A 17420-nucleotide genomic window follows, 5' to 3' on the forward strand; every position below is an offset into this window, starting at 1 on the left:
AAAGAAAATGTGGCACATATATGCCATGGAATACTATGTAGCCATAAAAAAGAAGGAAGTCACTTCCTTTGCAGCAACATGGTTGCAGCTGGAGGCCATTATCCTAAGTGAATTAATGCAGAAACAGAAAACTAAATACCACATGTTCTCACTTATAAATGGAAGCTACACGTTGAGTACACATGGACATAAAGATGGGAACAATAGACACTGGGAACTACAAGAGGAGGTAGAGAGGGAGCAAGGGATTGAGGGACTACCTAATGGGTACTATGGTCACTACCTGGATGTGGAGTTCAATCATACCGCAGACTTTAGTATCACACAATATACCCTGTGGCAAACCTGCATATGTACCCCCGAATCCAAAATAAAAGTTTTAAAAAAAAAAAGTGTGCAGGAGGAGTGTGGGGGGAGAGGAGGAGAGTACAGGAAAAGAGGAAAGTACAATGGGAAAGGAGGGGAGGGGAAGAGAAAGGAGGGAAGGGAAGGGAAAGGAAAGGTGGATAAGGGAAGACAAAAGAAAAGGTGAGGAGAACATGGAGGTTCATACAAGGTTGTAAGGGCATAGAAGCAGTGTACATCATTGCAGCCTACATTCTATTGGCTACAAATCAATCTTATGACCCATCTTGGTTTCAAATATTGGAATCAGGACCAGAACCCATGTCCCCAGAGCTGGTCCAGGTGCTGGTCACACACAATATGATGCCTGGCCTGGGGGCCTCATGCCCACTCCTCTTACCCACCCCACACACTTGCCTTACCATATGCACCACGCAGATGAACTGCCATAGTTCCCACCTCAGTCACCTCTGCAAGAATGCCTTGATTTTGCCAAACACTTGATATTTGGCATGAGGAGCTATAACATCCAGATGGAGGTATCTTTGCTCTCAATTCATAGAGGCAGAGAAAGTCATGATTCTAGACCAAACTCTTCATTTCACCAGTGAGGAAACTGAGGACAAAGCAGGATCCCCATCCGGGGACCAGCCCAAGGAGACACGCCTACAAAGCCGCAGCACTGGGCAGCAGAGCCAGGTCATCAGGCTCACCACTGGGACCACCCATCAGGAGGCTATGACCACGGTTAAGTTCTTAGAGAAAAACAACTCAAAGAGAAGACTTTTAGGCCTCCGGGAAGGAATTATCTGGGAGAAAGAAGCCTTCCAAGAGCCCTTAAATGATTCTGCATGGCCTGCTCAGTTAGTTCAATGGCTCTCAGTCTTTCTGCCTCTGTTGTGGCACACTCATGATAAGGCACAATTCTGGATTCAGCTAAAATCCAGGAAGAGCTTTCTTATTGAAGAAAGTAAATGAAATATAATAAGGGTGAAATTAGCACAATGACTTTGAACCTACCCTGATCTATATTTTCAAGCGAAAAACTTTCACATTTTTTCTCTATTTTTTTTTTTCCTTTAACAAGTTAGTTCCATCTCTTACCCTGGTCCAAGCCCCTAAGTGGAGTGGGAGCTTGGCTCAGCATCCCTGCTGTATGAACCCACATCCAACCCACCCTCAGGAAGGCTCGTCCCTGCAGGGAAGCCAGACTTAGGAGGCTCGTGCCTATCTCTCAGGCTCCAGTTCCACTTGGCAGGGGCTTTCTGGCCTGCCTCTGTTCTGAGATGGCACCGAGATAATGCAGAAACCAGCACAATGCTGACAGCCTGCCCCATGTTTACAGTACATCTCAGCAATGTTCCCTAATGCTCATGTAAACAGACTGCATGGCCCAGACTTAGCGGCTCCAAGCACTCTGGCAGGGGCCCAGCAGGACTGCCACGTAAAACCCACTTCCCACACCTGAGCTTCTTGACCAGCCAAGGGCAACTCCTTAGAGAAGAGGCTTGTAGAGCTGAAAGGCACCCCACAGACCTCATGGCTATGCAAACATGCAGCCAATATGTAATTATCAGAACGCTGTCATGGACTATGCCTGAGCTGAACAAAAAGACACACTTGGCTTTAGTCTTCATGGAGCACCCAGTCTGGTGGGGAAAACAGGCCACTGCCATGCAGTGCCACCATGGTGGCCACATCAGGGCTGGGAAGAGGACACCATCCTCAATCTTGACTGAGAAGGCGCTTTCTAAACACTGGTCCCTCCATTTCCTAAGCTCCCCCTATGAACCCAGTGTGTCCGGAATTGGTGGGTTCTTAGTCTCACTGACTTCAAGAGTGAAGCCGCGGACCCTCGCGGTGAGTGTTACAGCTCTTAAGGTGGCGCGTCTGGAGTTTGTTCCTTCTGATGTTCAGATGTGTTCGGAGTTTCTTCCTTCTGGTGGGTTCCTGGTCTCACTGGCTCAGGAGTGAAGCTGCAGACCTTCGCGGTGAGTGTTACAGCTCTTAAGGCAACGCGTCTGGAGTTGTTCGTTCCTCCCGGTGGGCTCGTGGTCTCGCTGGGCTCAGGAATGAAGCTGCAGATCTTCGCTGTGAGTGTTACAGCTCATAAAAGCAGCGTGGACCCAAAGAGTGAGCAGTAGCAGGATTTATTGCAAACAGCAAAAGAACAAAGCTTCCACAGTGTGGAAGGGGACCCGAGTGGGTTGCCAATGTTGGCTAGGGCAGCCTGCTTTTATTCTCTTATCTGGCCCCACCCACATCCTGCTGATTGGTAGAGCCCAGTGGCCTGTTTTGTCAGGTCGCTGATTGGTGCGTTTACAATCCCTGAGCTAGATACAAAGGTTCTCCACGTCCCCATCAGATTAGTTACAGAGTTTCGACACACAGGTTCTCCAAGGCCCCACCAGAGCAGCTAGATACAGAGTGTCGATTGGTGCATTCACAAACCTTGAGCTAAACACAGGGTGCTGATTGGTGTATTTACAATCCCTGAGCTAGATATAAAGGTTCTCCACATCCTCACCAGAGCAGCTAGATACAGAGTGTCGATTGGTGCACTCACAAACCTTGGGCTAAACACAGGGTGCTGATTGGTGTATTTACACTCCCTGAGCTAGATATAAAGACTCTCCACGTCCCCACCAGACTCAGGAGCCCAGCTGGCTTCACCTAGTGGATCCCGCACCGGGGCTGCAGTTGGAGCTGCCTGCCAGTCCTGCGCCGTGAGCTCCCATTCCTCAGCCCTTGGGTGGTCGATGGGACTGGGCGCCATGGAACAGGGGGTGGTGCTCGTCTGGGAGGCTCGGGCCGCACCGGAGCCCATGGAGTGGGTGGGAGGCTCAGGCATGGCGGGCTGCAGGTCCCGAGCCCTGCCCCGTGGGAAGGCAGCTAAGGCCCAGCGAGAAATCGAGCGCAGCACCGGTGGGCCAGCACTGCTGAGGGACTCAGTACACCCTCCGCAGCCACTGGCCCAGGTGCTAAGTCCCCCATTGTCCGGGGCCAGCAGGGCTGGCTGGCTGCTCCGAGTGCCGGGCCCACCAAGCCCACGCCCACCCGGAACTCCAGCTGGCCCGCAAGCGCCGCACGCAGCCCCGGTTCCCGCTCGTGCCTCTCCCTCCACACCTCCCTGCAAGCTGAGGGAGTGGGCTCCAGCCTTGGCCAGCCCAGAAAGGGGCTCCCACAGTGCAGTGGTGGGCTGAAGGGCTCCTCAAATGCTGCCAAATTGGGAGCCCAGGCAGAGGAGGTGCCAAGAGCAAGTGAGGGCTCTGAGGACTGCCAGCACGCTGTCACCTCTCACCAACATGGAGATGAGCACTGGAAACAGCCCAGTAAATAAGACACAAGTCACCTGACATCTTTTTTGTGTGTTTTTCCTACTAACAATGCTCCCTTCTGTGTTAGTTGGCAAGTACTACCATGACAAAATACCATAGACTGGGTGGTTTAAACTGAAAATATTTTCTCATAGTTCTGAGGCTGGAAGTTCTGAGGCTGGAAGTGTCAGCAGCCTTGGTTTCTTCTGAGACCTTTCTCCCTGGCGGGTAGATGTCCACCTTTTCCCTGTGTCTTCACATGGCCTTTTGTCTTTTGCCCGAGCACCTCAGGTACCTCTTCCTCTTCTTATAAGAACATCAGTCAGATAGGATTATGGCCCACTCTAGCAGCCTCATTTCAACTGTATTGCATCTTTAACTGCCCTATCTCCAAATACAATCACCTTGAGGAGTGAATTTGAGGGGAAGATAATTCTGTCTATAACACATTCTATGTCTAGAATATGTTGCATTTTGAAGTTAAGAGAACATGTAACAACTTGTAAAAATGTGGGCTTTGGGGACAGGCAAACATGGGTATGACTTTTAGATCTGTCACTTACCTTCTGCCTGATTTCGGATGAGTACCTTACGGAGCCTCAGTTTTACTCATCTGTAAATTGAAGTAATAATGTGTGCATTACAAGTGTCTTGAAGGGATTAGAGGTTGGGTTGTAGAGAGTATTTAATGAATGCTACTAATGCTGCTGGTGGTACTTGTTAATGGCAGGAAAGGTAGTTTGGGGTAAGACGAGTTTAGATTTAGACTCAGATAATAGCAGCTTACATTTATGGAGCATATATATGCCAGGCACTGTTCTAAGTGGATTCACTCATTTAATTTTTAAAACAACACCAGGAAGCAGAAACAACTGTTATCCCCATGTTATAAATAGGGAAAGTGAGGTACAAGGTTAAGTAAATGTCTTCAAGGTCACAGACAGGTAATAAATGGAAGATCCGGAATTTGAACCCAGGCCTCCTGACCCCAGAGCCCACACAGTCAGTATTACTATAACTAAGTCATCTAGGACTTTAAACAATGTACTGAATCTCTATAAACTAAAGCAATATTCTCATGGCCTATAATTATCAAAAATTAACTTCTTAATTATGAGATGCTCACAAAAGTTTACTTCTCTTTTTGCTTGAACTCCAGAGATTTTTATTAGGGAAACAATAATGGTAACACTTTTCAGAGAGAGGAGCAAATATCAAAAATGGAACTTATCTATAAATTAAACCCCTGCCCACACCCCAAATAGAGAACAGAGCTTGAATCCATCCTTTAAAGCTCAGAATGTTGATTAAAATGCTTTTATGAAGTAGAAAAAAATAAAGCTAATATTAAAAAATCCTGTTTTATTAATCCCCAAAGGAAGGATTTTATTAATTCCTTTAGAATCCAATAAAAGTGTGTTTTTTTAATCAAGTTTGTTTTTCAATTCCTACTCAAGTGTCAAATCATAACAGAAGAGCCCACATTTCCTGAGAAGCTTCTAGGTACAGGGGCTGGGGCTGGAGTATGGGGGACAGACATGGACCCAGGCCGTTTAGACAAGCCAGCTGGATAAAAACAAACATGAAATATTAAGTACTATCAAGATGATAGGAAAAAGCAGTGCTCATGAGGGTGATTGTGTCTATTTTATTATTTTATTTTCATACAAACAAGAACTGTTTATTCCAGAACAGTGTCTGGCACATATTATATTAGACCTTGAATAATACTTGTTGAATAAGTAGGCAAAAGTATAATCATGGAGTGTCTTACTGATACAGTAAGAAGTTTGCTTTTAATTCCAAAACAACATCTGTATGGCTTTTAAGCAGGAGAGTAACATGGTCTTTATGGATTTTTTTTTTCCTTTTTCGTAAACTACCTTGATGGCATTAGGAGAAGGGATACATACATGTGAAAGGAAATGAAACAAGGAGACCAAGTCACTATATAGCAGGGGTGACGTTGGCCTAGACTAGGGGTATAGCAGTGCAGGTGGGAAGAACTGGATGGATCCAGGATATATTTGGGACCTAGGGTTCACAGGAGACTTTGTGGATTCGATGTGAGAGATAAAGGAAAGAAGGACATCAGTATGAGCTCCTGGCATTTCACTTGAGCATCTGGGTAGACAAGGTTATGGCATTTACCGAGATGGGAGTAATATAAGCATGAATGGATTTGGGGCTCAGGGAGAGCAGAAATTAAGAATTCTATTTTAGGTATATTAAGGATAAGGTGTCTATTAGACATCTCATGAAATATCAAATGGTTGTTGGGTGTGTAAACCAGAAGTTCAGAAAGATATCAGATGGTCAGTATATTGAGGCATGGAGGTGGAAATGCTGGGTGTTCTACCAGAATCATTTGAAGCAAGGGTAAGACCTACTCTTTCATGATAGCATCAAATTCATGCCTCAGCCAAACTAGAAATCATGGGGTGCTTAAAAATAGACAATATAAATCAACACTTGTTCTTCCTGCAGAAAATCCAACACATCCAAATGGGCTGCCACATCCTTTGAGGAGCTTCTCCTAGGCTTTCTAGCTCTCTCCCACATCCAGCAAGTTTTAGGTGAGACTCACTGGTACCCACATATAGTTAAAGTCCACCCTGCAAATTGTGGGTTTAATCAGATGCATGGCTTCATCGCTTGGGCTTAATGAGGTAAACCAGACCTCCGGTAATATCGCCTGTATAATTGACATGGTTCTCTGGGAAACATTACGCTTTATAATGAAAATACTGTATATAATTAGAATCTAATAGGAAGAAAATAGTAATTAGCCAGAATTAACTGAACAGACGCAATCAGGCAAATAAAGGTTATCCTCAGGAGAGGACCCTTCAGAGTTCAAACACACGTCCTATAATTGTAGAGAAGCCCCAGTAATTAAGAGTAATTTTTTCCCTGCATCGTGGTGGAAGAGTTCTTTTTTCATTTTTTACATTTTTGGTCTTCGGTTTGTGTGTGTGTGCATGTGTGTGCATGCATGTGTGTGCCTGCTGAGTGGCAGAATGAATTTGGCCAAGACATAAAAAGGATCTGGAAGGTCGCACACACAAAGCCATGAAAGTAAGGAAGGGCAAGTGCAAGGGCAGGGAACCTAGAGCCTAAAGTTCCAGGTGCAATGCTCTGTTATTAACTAGCTTTGTGACTTTGAGTGAGTCACTCCCCATCTCTGATTATAACGATAATAGTGGTTACTGTTTACTGAGTGTCCACTTGCTATGACCTATCATGCTAAGTACTTTCCATATATTATCAATATAATCTTTGTATTCTTAACCACTGGATAAACATCCTCCCTTCTTTATTTGCTTTAAAGCAAAGACTTCTCTTTTCTCCTACATAAGATTTAAACCAGACAATTTTAAAATACTAATAACGACAATAAAAATTTTCCCCAGGGTTATTGTGAGAATCCACTAAGATCATGCCCTTTTTCAAGCTGTAAGAAGGAAGAAAATCAGACTTTATGAACCATTCGTTTACACCAAGAATTGTACAAGAACCTGGACTTGTCAGGCCCCATATCTGAGCTCCCTTCCTGCAATATCCACTCAGCATTGATGGCCTCTCCTACGGGCGTTATGATTAGGGTGTAAGCTTGTGCTACAAGGCTACGTTCACAGGAGTGCTCTCTGGAAGATAATGGAGTCACTCACCTGCTTCATCTGTGAGAGGAAAAGAGGGGTGTTTTGCTGGAGGACAGTTAGCCTTGAGTGAAGCCAGGGAAATTACTGTGTGGACCACGGTGAAGCAGGTCTTCTCTTGCCAGTCAGTGCAATGGCCTCTCCAGCACCACATGGTCCAGTTCTAAATGCAGGAATATGAATGCCAACAAAGAATGTTGTCCATGTTTAGCCCAGAGTTACATATCCCATTACTTGCCCCTGTACCATCATAGAGCCAGTTCTCTGAGCAGATCCAACCAACATTCATGAGCACCAACCCTGTGCTGGGCTCAAGGTGGGCACTAGAGGTATGGGGGCTGTCCTTCATGGAGACTGCCATCCAGGGAGCAGGGGTGGGAATGCAGGAAGGAAAGGAGACATATTGCATGCATGTCCCCAGAACACAAGCTGGAGTAAGTGCTGTGATAACAGCACCACCAAGGCTAATAGAAAACTTAAGGGAGCTATTGAATTCCTGCGAAGAATAGAGACAGATCTGGGAAGACTTCCAGGAGGAGGTGGCATTTGAGTAGGACCTTGCCAAGTGGAAATAGGAGAGAGGGAAACTCTGGGGAAAAGGACCAGCCTGGGCAAAGGCATGATGCCAAGTGGATATACAATATATATCATGGGAGAATGACTTGAAGCCTCTGATGTCACAGATGTATTGAGAAGCAGAGGTTTCTAGTCCTCTCCTAAAAGAGAGAGAACTGGGGATTTCTAAGGTATCTCTATCTACCCTCTTACTCACCTCTCCCCACAAGAGGAATAATGGATTTGATTGGTAAGGCTAAAGAGCAGCTCATCCCATCATCCAAAGGGCATACATGGGAAAGAGCAAGAAAGAATGGTGTCTTCCAGGCATGAGTAAAGATGTCTTTCATGGGGATCCTTTCACCTACCTCGGCCCAGGTTGGTAGGCTCTGGGCAGAGGGGCTTGCTCCTACAAGCTCAGGCAGACCTGTTTGCCAGCTTCTCCATCAGTCTCAGGAGGAAAGAAAGGTGGGTTCCACAGTCCTGATTCAGGAAAGAAGGTCCCAGTGCAGGCACATTCTTTTTTTTTTTTTTTTTTTTTTTTTTTGAGACGGAGTCTCGCTCTGTCGCCCAGGCTGGAATGCAGTGGAGTGATCTGGGCTGACTGCAAGCTCCGCCTCCTGGGTTCACGCCATTCTCCTGCCTCAGCCTCCCGAGTAGCTGGGACTACAGGCGCCCGCCACCACGCCCAGCTAATTTTTTTTGTATTTTTAGTAGAGACGGGGTTTCACTGTGTTATCCAGGATGGTCTCGATCTCCTGACATTGTGATCCGCCCATCTCGGCCTCCCAAAGTACTGGGATTACAGGCGTGAGCCACCGCGCCCGGCCGGCACATTCTTTAATCAAGCTCTACCATTAGTGAATCTGATTCTGGTTTTATTTCTTACCTATGTTTTTGTGTTCGTTTTTAAATTGACTGGATCTGGAGGAGAGTAGTAGCCAGGTATTGGCAGGCTTAAATCTCCCATCATGTGCTACTGGGTCAGTGCATGGTTTGGTGTGTTTAGATCACAGGGCAGGGTATGGATGGTGGTAGATAAAGCTGGAAAGGCCAACTTGTTTCTTAAGAAATGGGGGAGAAAATATCCAAATTATCACGTAATTTCAGTACCCTTCCTCCATACCAAATATCAACTATATTAAGTCTGAAATGTACCCTCCCTTTAGAGAAATGGGGCTCCACTCTTAAGATTCTTAGCTATCAATCTGTGTGTTGAGACATAACATCTCACGCCTCCCTCCCCAGCGTGCATCAATACCATATTGGTATTGGGGATATGCATGAGAGTAGAGAAAAGTTTTTGTAAGAGCTACTAGAGGGAAAGAATGAATGGATGGATACATGGCCATGGGACATCAATCTCTAGCTATGTTATCTGTCTTCAAAGTGATAATAATGTATATAGCATGTATTTATTAAACACAACATGCAAAGCTCTGTAACAGAAGCCAGGGAAGCTATACAGAGGGGTTAAACATAGCCCGTCCATTTGAAGAATTTACCATATAGCAAGAGAGATGAGATTTCTATAAAATAATTATAATACAAGGTGAGAGGAAATAGGATAATTAGTTTAAGTGCTATAAAGTGCTGTGGGTATGCAAAAGAGAGAGAAAGATTTCTTTGGCAAGAGAATTTAGAGAAAATTTCCAGGAAGAGGTGGTGTTGAAGCTGAAGCTTGAACTCTAGGGTGTATATGGAAATGCAGACATAAAAGGCGGGTCTTCTTCATGGAGAAGTGTCTCAAGCAAGAACAAGGGAGTAACAAATATGAGGAGGAACAGGAAGTCATGAGGACCACTAGCTCATATAAAGAAGCATTCTGAAAAATATATGGAAGCCAGATCTTGCAGGATCTTGAATGCCAAATCAAGGTGGACTTTGCCGCGCATTTTGAGTTAAAGGCATGACTCAAGCAGAGTAGTATCCTAGTGCGATTGATTAAAGCAGAGTCCCCTAGAGGATTGGAGGCTTGGTCTCCTTCCTGGAGCAAGTCTCTGCCTGTGCTGAGTGCTGAGTGATGGGAAGCGGAGTCACAGGATGGTTTTGAAGATTACCATGTGCCTCTGCCCCCTTCCTTTTCTCTGCCAGAAGAGGGACCCAAGGCAGCTCTGATGATCACAGGTGAAACCCTCTTGTCTGGGCCTCCTATTTCTATTATTAAAGCCACTTAATGCCTAATTACTCAACCAGCCACAAGGCCTTCAGAGAGCTCCTTGCCAGAGAGCAATCGGATTTGTCAGACATTTCCAAAAGCACACAACTCTCTTGGAGGTCTCAGAATAGCTATGTCAGTGGCCCTAATGGAACATAATTTCCTGTAAAGGAAAACTAATTTAATATTTTCAGGTATTATGTAACCAAGTGCCCGCAGAGAGAGGGAAGACAACTGCTAACGAGAAACAATGAGAGCTCGGTACCCCTGTGGAATCAGAAAGCCTGCAGGTCTATTTAATGCTGCAAAGGGGACCCACGGGAGTGGCTGATTGCAGAGACAGGGGTATAGTAGTGTAATGGTGAAGCATGTTGGCTTTCAGCCAGGCTAGACTGAGGTCTGCTGCTTACTAGCTGTGAGACCTTGGGCATACTACCTAACGTCTCTGAACCATGCTGAAGTTTCATCATCAGCAAAATAAGAATGATAAAATAATCCTAACTCATTTGGTTGTTGTGAGGACTAAAAAGAATAATGTATGCAAGGTGCATAGCACAGTGCCTGGCACTTAAAAAGACATTAAATAAATGGCTGTTACTACAGCTGCTGTTATTATTGATCAGAGTAGAGTTAAGGAAAACTTACTTTCCTCTCACTCCTCATTTTGGAAGAAGGGATGGGGTCAGGATACCAAGCACCCAAACCTTGTGGAGTAAACAACATATAGTCACAGGACCATCCTACAGTTAATTGTCCACTCCACTACCACCCTCACACCTCATCACTTGAACAATTATTAAAAGGACAAACAAATCTTTCATCTCTTGCCTGGATCTTGGATTGCAATGGCCTCCTTATTTCCCCACCCAGTGCCATAATCACCTCCTTCAGGCTATCTTCCTTACTGCAGTTAAAAGATATTTCCCGAACTTCCATCTGATAACATTGGCCCTCTGTTTAGAGGGCATAATAGAATTTCTCAGATCTAAAAAATTCAAATCCAAACTCTTATCCTAGCATTCAAGGCCCTGCAAAATGTGGTCCCAGCCTTGTCTCCCTGAGAGCTCCTGTCCTGTCTCCTAATCTTCTAACACACCATCTTCTTGCCATTTCTCTACTAAGAGCTCTCCCTCTCCCACATATGCAGCCAACCTCAAGAATCATGGCACTTTTTCCTAGCAAGTCAGACACGACCTCAGAATCTTTCTCAACACGGTGTTCCAGGCAGTCACAACCAACTGATCATGTTTGGGACAAAACATTAAATCCATTTGCTGGTCTAGAATAGCCTGGGTCTTGGCCAAACTGATTCAATTTGGTCCTCAGTCTCAGAGACCCCTGAAAACTGATTTAGCCAAGCTCTCTAAATTGATCACATGCCTTTGGGCCTCTCCTGAGACAGAGAAGCCTCTTTCCCACGGAAGGCTCCCTGTACCTCTACCTATACCAGACCCTAGGGCCCTAAATCCTCCCTCCTATGACACAGCTTCACTCTGGGGCAGGTAAGTAGTCCCTTGAACTCAGCGACATAGTTTTAGCTGTCCCTTCTGCCACTAGTCAGCTGGACCCAGATGTTTCTCATGGTCCTAGGGATCCCTTGTACTGGCTCTCTCCAGGATCCAAGGAGATGCTTTTTCCTCAGTCTCTGAAAAACCAAGAAAGACTGCTCTACCACCAGCAGCAAGCTTAGGCTCTAAGAATAGATACCTTCAACTCAGGATCCCCCACCCCCAGGATAAAATCCTTAACTTCTTAACGTTTTATGAACTAGTATACTTTCCTGAAACGCCTAGATCCAATGTCAGATTTCTACAGCCTTCTCAGCTGAGAAGATTGGAAGCTGTTTTAGCTGAACTCCTACTGCAGACATTCCCGAGGCTGCCCAGAAACCCGCCAAAGAGACCTCAGGGTCCAGTGGAGCAAGGCTAAACCACAGCCTCCAGTGTAGAAACTCTCCATCCCTGGCGAGGTTTTAAAAAATGCCAATGCCTGAACCCATCCAAAAGAAACTCTAATTTATTTGCTCTCATATACATATACATAAAGGACAATATACATCACCTTTAAGAAAAAAAAAAAAAGAAGCTCCCAAGTTGCTTCTAATGTGTACACTCTCCTGTAAACAGTCACATTCATTCAGAAATATTGACAACTGCCAACTACAGATGACAGTGGGAAAGCCCTATATGAATATCCTCTGGACAATGGCCCCAGCATTCCTTCCAGTCCTAACAGGGTGGAAAGGACCACACTGCTGTCTGAAACAACTTAGGAAACATTAGAGATGACACCAAAAGACCTGGAAGGCAGTACTTCAACCCAATGGGGAGTCCTAACTGGAGCTGATGCCTAAGCCTATATTCATTCATGCATGCAGTATTCATTCATTCATAAATATTCAGCTCTTATTATGTTCCAGGCATGGTACTAGGACTCAGGTGATGGCTCCAGCTCAAAGAACCCCTGATTCTGAACCATGATCCCATGTTAGTGGCTACCGGAGGTAGTTTCTGAACCTCAGCTGAGAACTCCAGCAACTTTCACTAAATTTTGATACCTCAAAGGCAATAATTGACCAATAACAATTATTTTTATTATCCTTAGGCTCTTGAATAAGAAATTATTGAGTGTTTACATGTGTGGCAATCATACTATGTTTTATTTACCAGCCACCATTTTGCAAGATAAATTTTGTTCTATACAATTTATAGGTGAGAAGATAAAGAAGTTGAAAGAGGGAAAGTAATTTGACCAGGGTTGCACAGCTCTTAGAGAGTTGAGCTGAGATCTGATCCCACATCTGTCTTTACCCATTCTGGCATATTATGTGAGTCGTGCATATTTCCTGATTCAACCAAACACTACCAACAGGTATTGAGCACCTTCTCACGTAAGACACCGCAGGAATGAATATTCAAAACAAACCTGTTTAGCGGTCATCACTTTTATCATTCAGAGCAAGAATCAAAGAGTCATCAAACCTCTTCTGTAAAGTCACATTATAGTGATTTGGGGCTCTGTGGTCTCTAGGGTCCCTATCACCATTTACTCTCCTCATGTAATCCAAAAACAGGCACTGACAATACAAAAGTTTCAATAAAACTTTATTTTAAAAAAACAGGTGGTGGGTTGGATTTTGCCCATGGTACTTAGTTTTTTTACTCCTATCCTACAGAAAAGGAAACTGGGACTAAGAGAGGGAAAGAGACTTGCCCAAGGTCATCCAGCTTCTAAGCAGTAAGCCAGGCTTCGATCCACATCTATAGGATTCCCCTGCTCATTCTCTCCTCTTCACTACACTGCCTCCCCAAAAAACCCCAGGGACTCATTCTTTCATCATTTAATCTTCCTCAATCCTCTAAGCTTTATCTGTTCTGATTAAGGCGAGCTTATTGTGCTCGAGATGGGTTATTGCTCTTCACAGTTCTCTCTCAAGAACATAAGAACAAATCAATCTTTCTGTCTTAATAAGTTGATAATGATTGTGAAATATTTAATGTGCTCAGTGCCATCCTTGATCTTCAGGCTTCAGTCAGAAAACCCTTCCCTGTCCTTTCCTCTCTCAAACATTATGCCCTGCATTTGTTTTTCTTTGCTCTTATTGTGTGTAAGACAGTTTTTGGGTTTTGTGGGTTTTTTGTTTGTTTTTACTGTCTAATAGCATATTCATTCCTCTCCTTTTGTCACCCATTTTCTCCCTCTAACATCGAATTTTGTCCTGGCTAAAAGGTGATTGCTTTCTGCTCATCTGGCTTTTTGGCCAGTATTTGCACTTGCCCATCACTTTGCATCCCTATATTTGCTTTTGTAAAATATCCCAGGACTCTGAGATCTCAGAAGGCAGCTATCTAACCCATCCCCCTTCCCCAGGCAAGACTTCATTCATTTATTTATTTACTCATTCAGTAAATACTGATTGAGCATAATCAGGTGTGGGTGATAGAATGAAGGTCAAAACACACATGGTCCTAGCTCTCATGGAGCCTACAATCTAGTGGGAGAGATCAACGTTAATGAAATAATTACAAAATATATAGTCTCAATCTGTGAGGCTGAGCAACATAATAACAGAAGGGACGTAATTTGTCTCATTGGTGAGAGTCATTAGGCAGGGGTTGGAGAAAGACCCCATTAAGATGTATGAGCTGAATAGAGATAGGAGATTGGAAGGGGACTCCTTAGGAGGACAAAGAGGAGAAAGGCTCTTTACCCAAAACCAGCTCCTCCTACCTGCTCTTTAAGGCTTTATAGGGGAAAGGCATCTACATTCTCCAATTTAGGTGATCAGTTAACCGACTCTAGAGTTTGAAATGCTTCCTCTTGCTTTTGTAGCAGCCTCTTAGGAGAAGCGTTAGAACTGGAAGGGCCCTTAGGGATCATCTGGGGAAACTTCTTCACTTTACAAATGGACAGCTTGGTGCCTAGAGAAGGTGGGAGATGTGCCTTAGAGCGTACAATGACACAGTGGCAGAGCTAGGGCTCAGGCCAGAGTCCTCCTGTTCTAGTGTTCTTTCCTCAGATTCAGGGTGAAGTTCCATTACCACAGAGCTTTTTAAAGACAGTATGTGCATGTCTTTGTTATAGACCAATGGTTATAAGAGTAAGCACAATAGCTACCTTTTGTGAAGGGTTTGTTCATATTCCAAATACAGTTAACATTTTACACTCAGCTTTCATAGCATTGTCCCAGTAACCCAGTGGTACAGGGCTTGATAGTGGTTCCTTGTTTCCCCCGTTTCATCTCAGCTGGCTGCGCCCTCTGTTCAGCTGGGGACTGCAGGCCAGGAAACCTAAGGGAATCCACACACCCTGCCTGACTTCTTTGTCTGCACCACAGTAGGCAGAACACGATTGGCCGTTTAGACTGTGTAGGCCTGTGGGCCCCACTGCATACTAATCAGTCACTAGAAATAGATGCATTAGGGGCGAAAACATTTACTGGCAACACTATCTGGCTTCAATCTTTCACCTTCACTGGGTAATGAGATGAGCTAGAACATTAAAACCAACAAACAGCCTTTGGTGTTTACAGCAAATGTTTGCAAGAGCGTAGGAGCCAGAGGTGCTCTGGGGAACATCTGGATTTCTGGAAACTGTGTGATTACACAGATGTGTTAGATTCATCAAGCTATAAAAATATCCTGTGATGTATGTCATGGAAGAAAAGCAACTTCCCAAAATGGATTTGGTGCAAATTATCGATCATAGCAAAGACACCAAAGGAGGAGTGATGTGACTCCAGGCTCTGAGGAGACCCTCAAAGCCAGGGTGAAGTGGACACTTTAGAGAGTGATCTTGGTTGACAATGGAGGGTAGAGGTGGGGTCTGAGGATGTCAGGGATGTTCTTTATCTATTGATAATTCTCTCTGACTATGAATACCTATTGCATTGCTTGCACTGAGTTTCTGCTTTTTTATGTGCTCCAGGGTTTCTACATTGCTCACAAATATCTTCCACTGGCTTATAAAATTACATGAAATGTGCCCTAAAGCACTTTTCCAGGTTCATCTTCTGTAGCCACCACTACTACCAAAATAGGCATCTTCCTATTTCCCCAACCATGTCATTTGTCTTCATTCAAACCCACAGCACCATGCCTGACTTAGTCCCCTCAAATATTGTTTGTTTGTTTGTTTGTTGTTTGTTTTAATGGTTAGCAAATGAATCAGTGAATTAGTGACCTCTGGGCCTTTGCCCATGCCCATGCCCATGCCTGGACACTTCCTGAGCTCATGCAGGAGCTTCTCTTCCTCCCAAGCCTGAGTCCAAGGGGCATCTCCTTCAGATAGGACTTCATCACTCCTGCTAATGACCACACCCCCACACATGTTGCACAAACCTTTAGTTTATCCCATAGACTTCTTTTTTATTTCAGATGTGTCTGTCTTTCTTACTGTTGTATAAGCTTGGAAAAGCTGGAGACGCTGCCCTGTTCATTTTTGCAGCCTTGATGTAGCAAAGAGAAGCACAATGGTAGTAGGTGAGCTGCCACTGGGAACCCCTTCAAGAATGCAGAACTCTTTTTTTTTTTTCCGAGACAGAATTTTGCTCTCGTTGTCCAGGCTGGAGTGCAATGGCGCGATCTTGGCTCACCACAATCTCTGCCTCCCAGGTTCAAGTGATTCTCCTGCCTCAGCCTCCTAAGTAGCTTGGACTACAGGCATGCCACCATGCCTGGCTAATTTTTGTATTTTTAGCAGAGACGGGGTTTCACCACATTGGCCAGGATGGTCTCGATCTCATGACCTCGTGATCTACCCGCCTCGGCCTTTCAAAGTCCTGGGATTACAGGCGTGAGCCACCATGCCCGGCCAAGAATGCAGAACTCTTAACATGAAGTTCCAAGGGCTTGTGATTCTAAAATGAACTTCACCGTAGCTAGCAATGAACACACCTTATAGAAGTTTCATTCTCAAGGAAAGGTTCGGGGGGAGTTATTTCTGTCCATTTGGGAGCCAGGATTGAATGAACCATTCATTGCAATGGTTAAGCGTTAGATTCGTGTAAATGGTGATAACAGTGTGCCCCAGTGTTTATTGAAATCTGACAGTATTTTAGGAATATAGTTTTACAACACTAAATAGTTTGAGTAAAAAATTGTATGAGGCCAGGCGCAGTGGCTCAAGCCTATAATTTTAGCACTTTGGGAGGCCGAGGCAGGCGGATCATTTGAGGCCAGGAGTTTCAGACCAGCCTGGCCAACATGGCGAAACCTTGTCTCCACTAAAAATACAAAAATTAGCTGGGCATGGTGGTGCCCACTTGTAGTCCCAGCTAAACTCGGGAGGCTGAGGCAGAAAAATCATCTGCACCCAGGAAGTGAAGGTTGCAGTGAGCCAAAATTGCACCACTGCACTCCAGCCTAGGCAACAGAGTGAGACCCTGTCTCAAAACACACACACACATACACACACACACACAAATATATATATATATAGTATGAGTAGAAAATAAATAGTAAATAAACAGAAAATAAACAAACAAAACTTATGAATAGAAAATAGCATGATAAGAAAAATTAGGTGTATGTTATCTTTGCCTGCATGTTGATAGAAACTGGTTGCAGCACCAGTTGTAATGTTTGGGCAGACCCAGGTTTCCTGACCCTGTTTTCGGTCCATTTTGCCTCCTGCCACAGAAACCTACCAATGAAATTGCATGTGTTTCATCCTGGATAGTCCCGAAAACAGCCCCACCCCAGCAGAGAGTATTACCTGGGCAGAGCACATTTTCATCTGAAGGTCACAGGGCAAAGCAGAGAAAGACACCCATCTGAACTGCCTTCCCATGTGTGGATTTATGCGGAAGGAATTAGGAACCAGAATAAAGCAATAGAAATTCAGTTGGTGACCTGAGAATTTCTCGCATTTAGCATAACAACAGAC

General features: G+C 44.6%; 1 long non-coding RNA gene across 1 annotated transcript in view; it reads right to left on the bottom strand.

Annotated features, from left to right (window-relative positions):
* Positions 1 to 492: 492 nt before the first annotated feature.
* Positions 493 to 17420, bottom strand: part of LOC107987122 (uncharacterized) — a 101852-nt gene continuing 84924 nt past the window's right edge. Inside the window, exons 2-3 of the long non-coding RNA XR_001746919.2 lie at positions 7334 to 7484; positions 493 to 4275 (exon numbers count right to left, since the gene is read on the bottom strand). This is a non-coding gene — a long non-coding RNA (uncharacterized LOC107987122). The remainder of the gene's footprint in view (positions 4276 to 7333; positions 7485 to 17420) is intronic.

The sequence above is a fragment of the Homo sapiens genome, chromosome 9, assembly GCF_000001405.40.
Source record: "Homo sapiens chromosome 9, GRCh38.p14 Primary Assembly".
Taxonomy (NCBI): domain Eukaryota; kingdom Metazoa; phylum Chordata; class Mammalia; order Primates; family Hominidae; genus Homo; species Homo sapiens.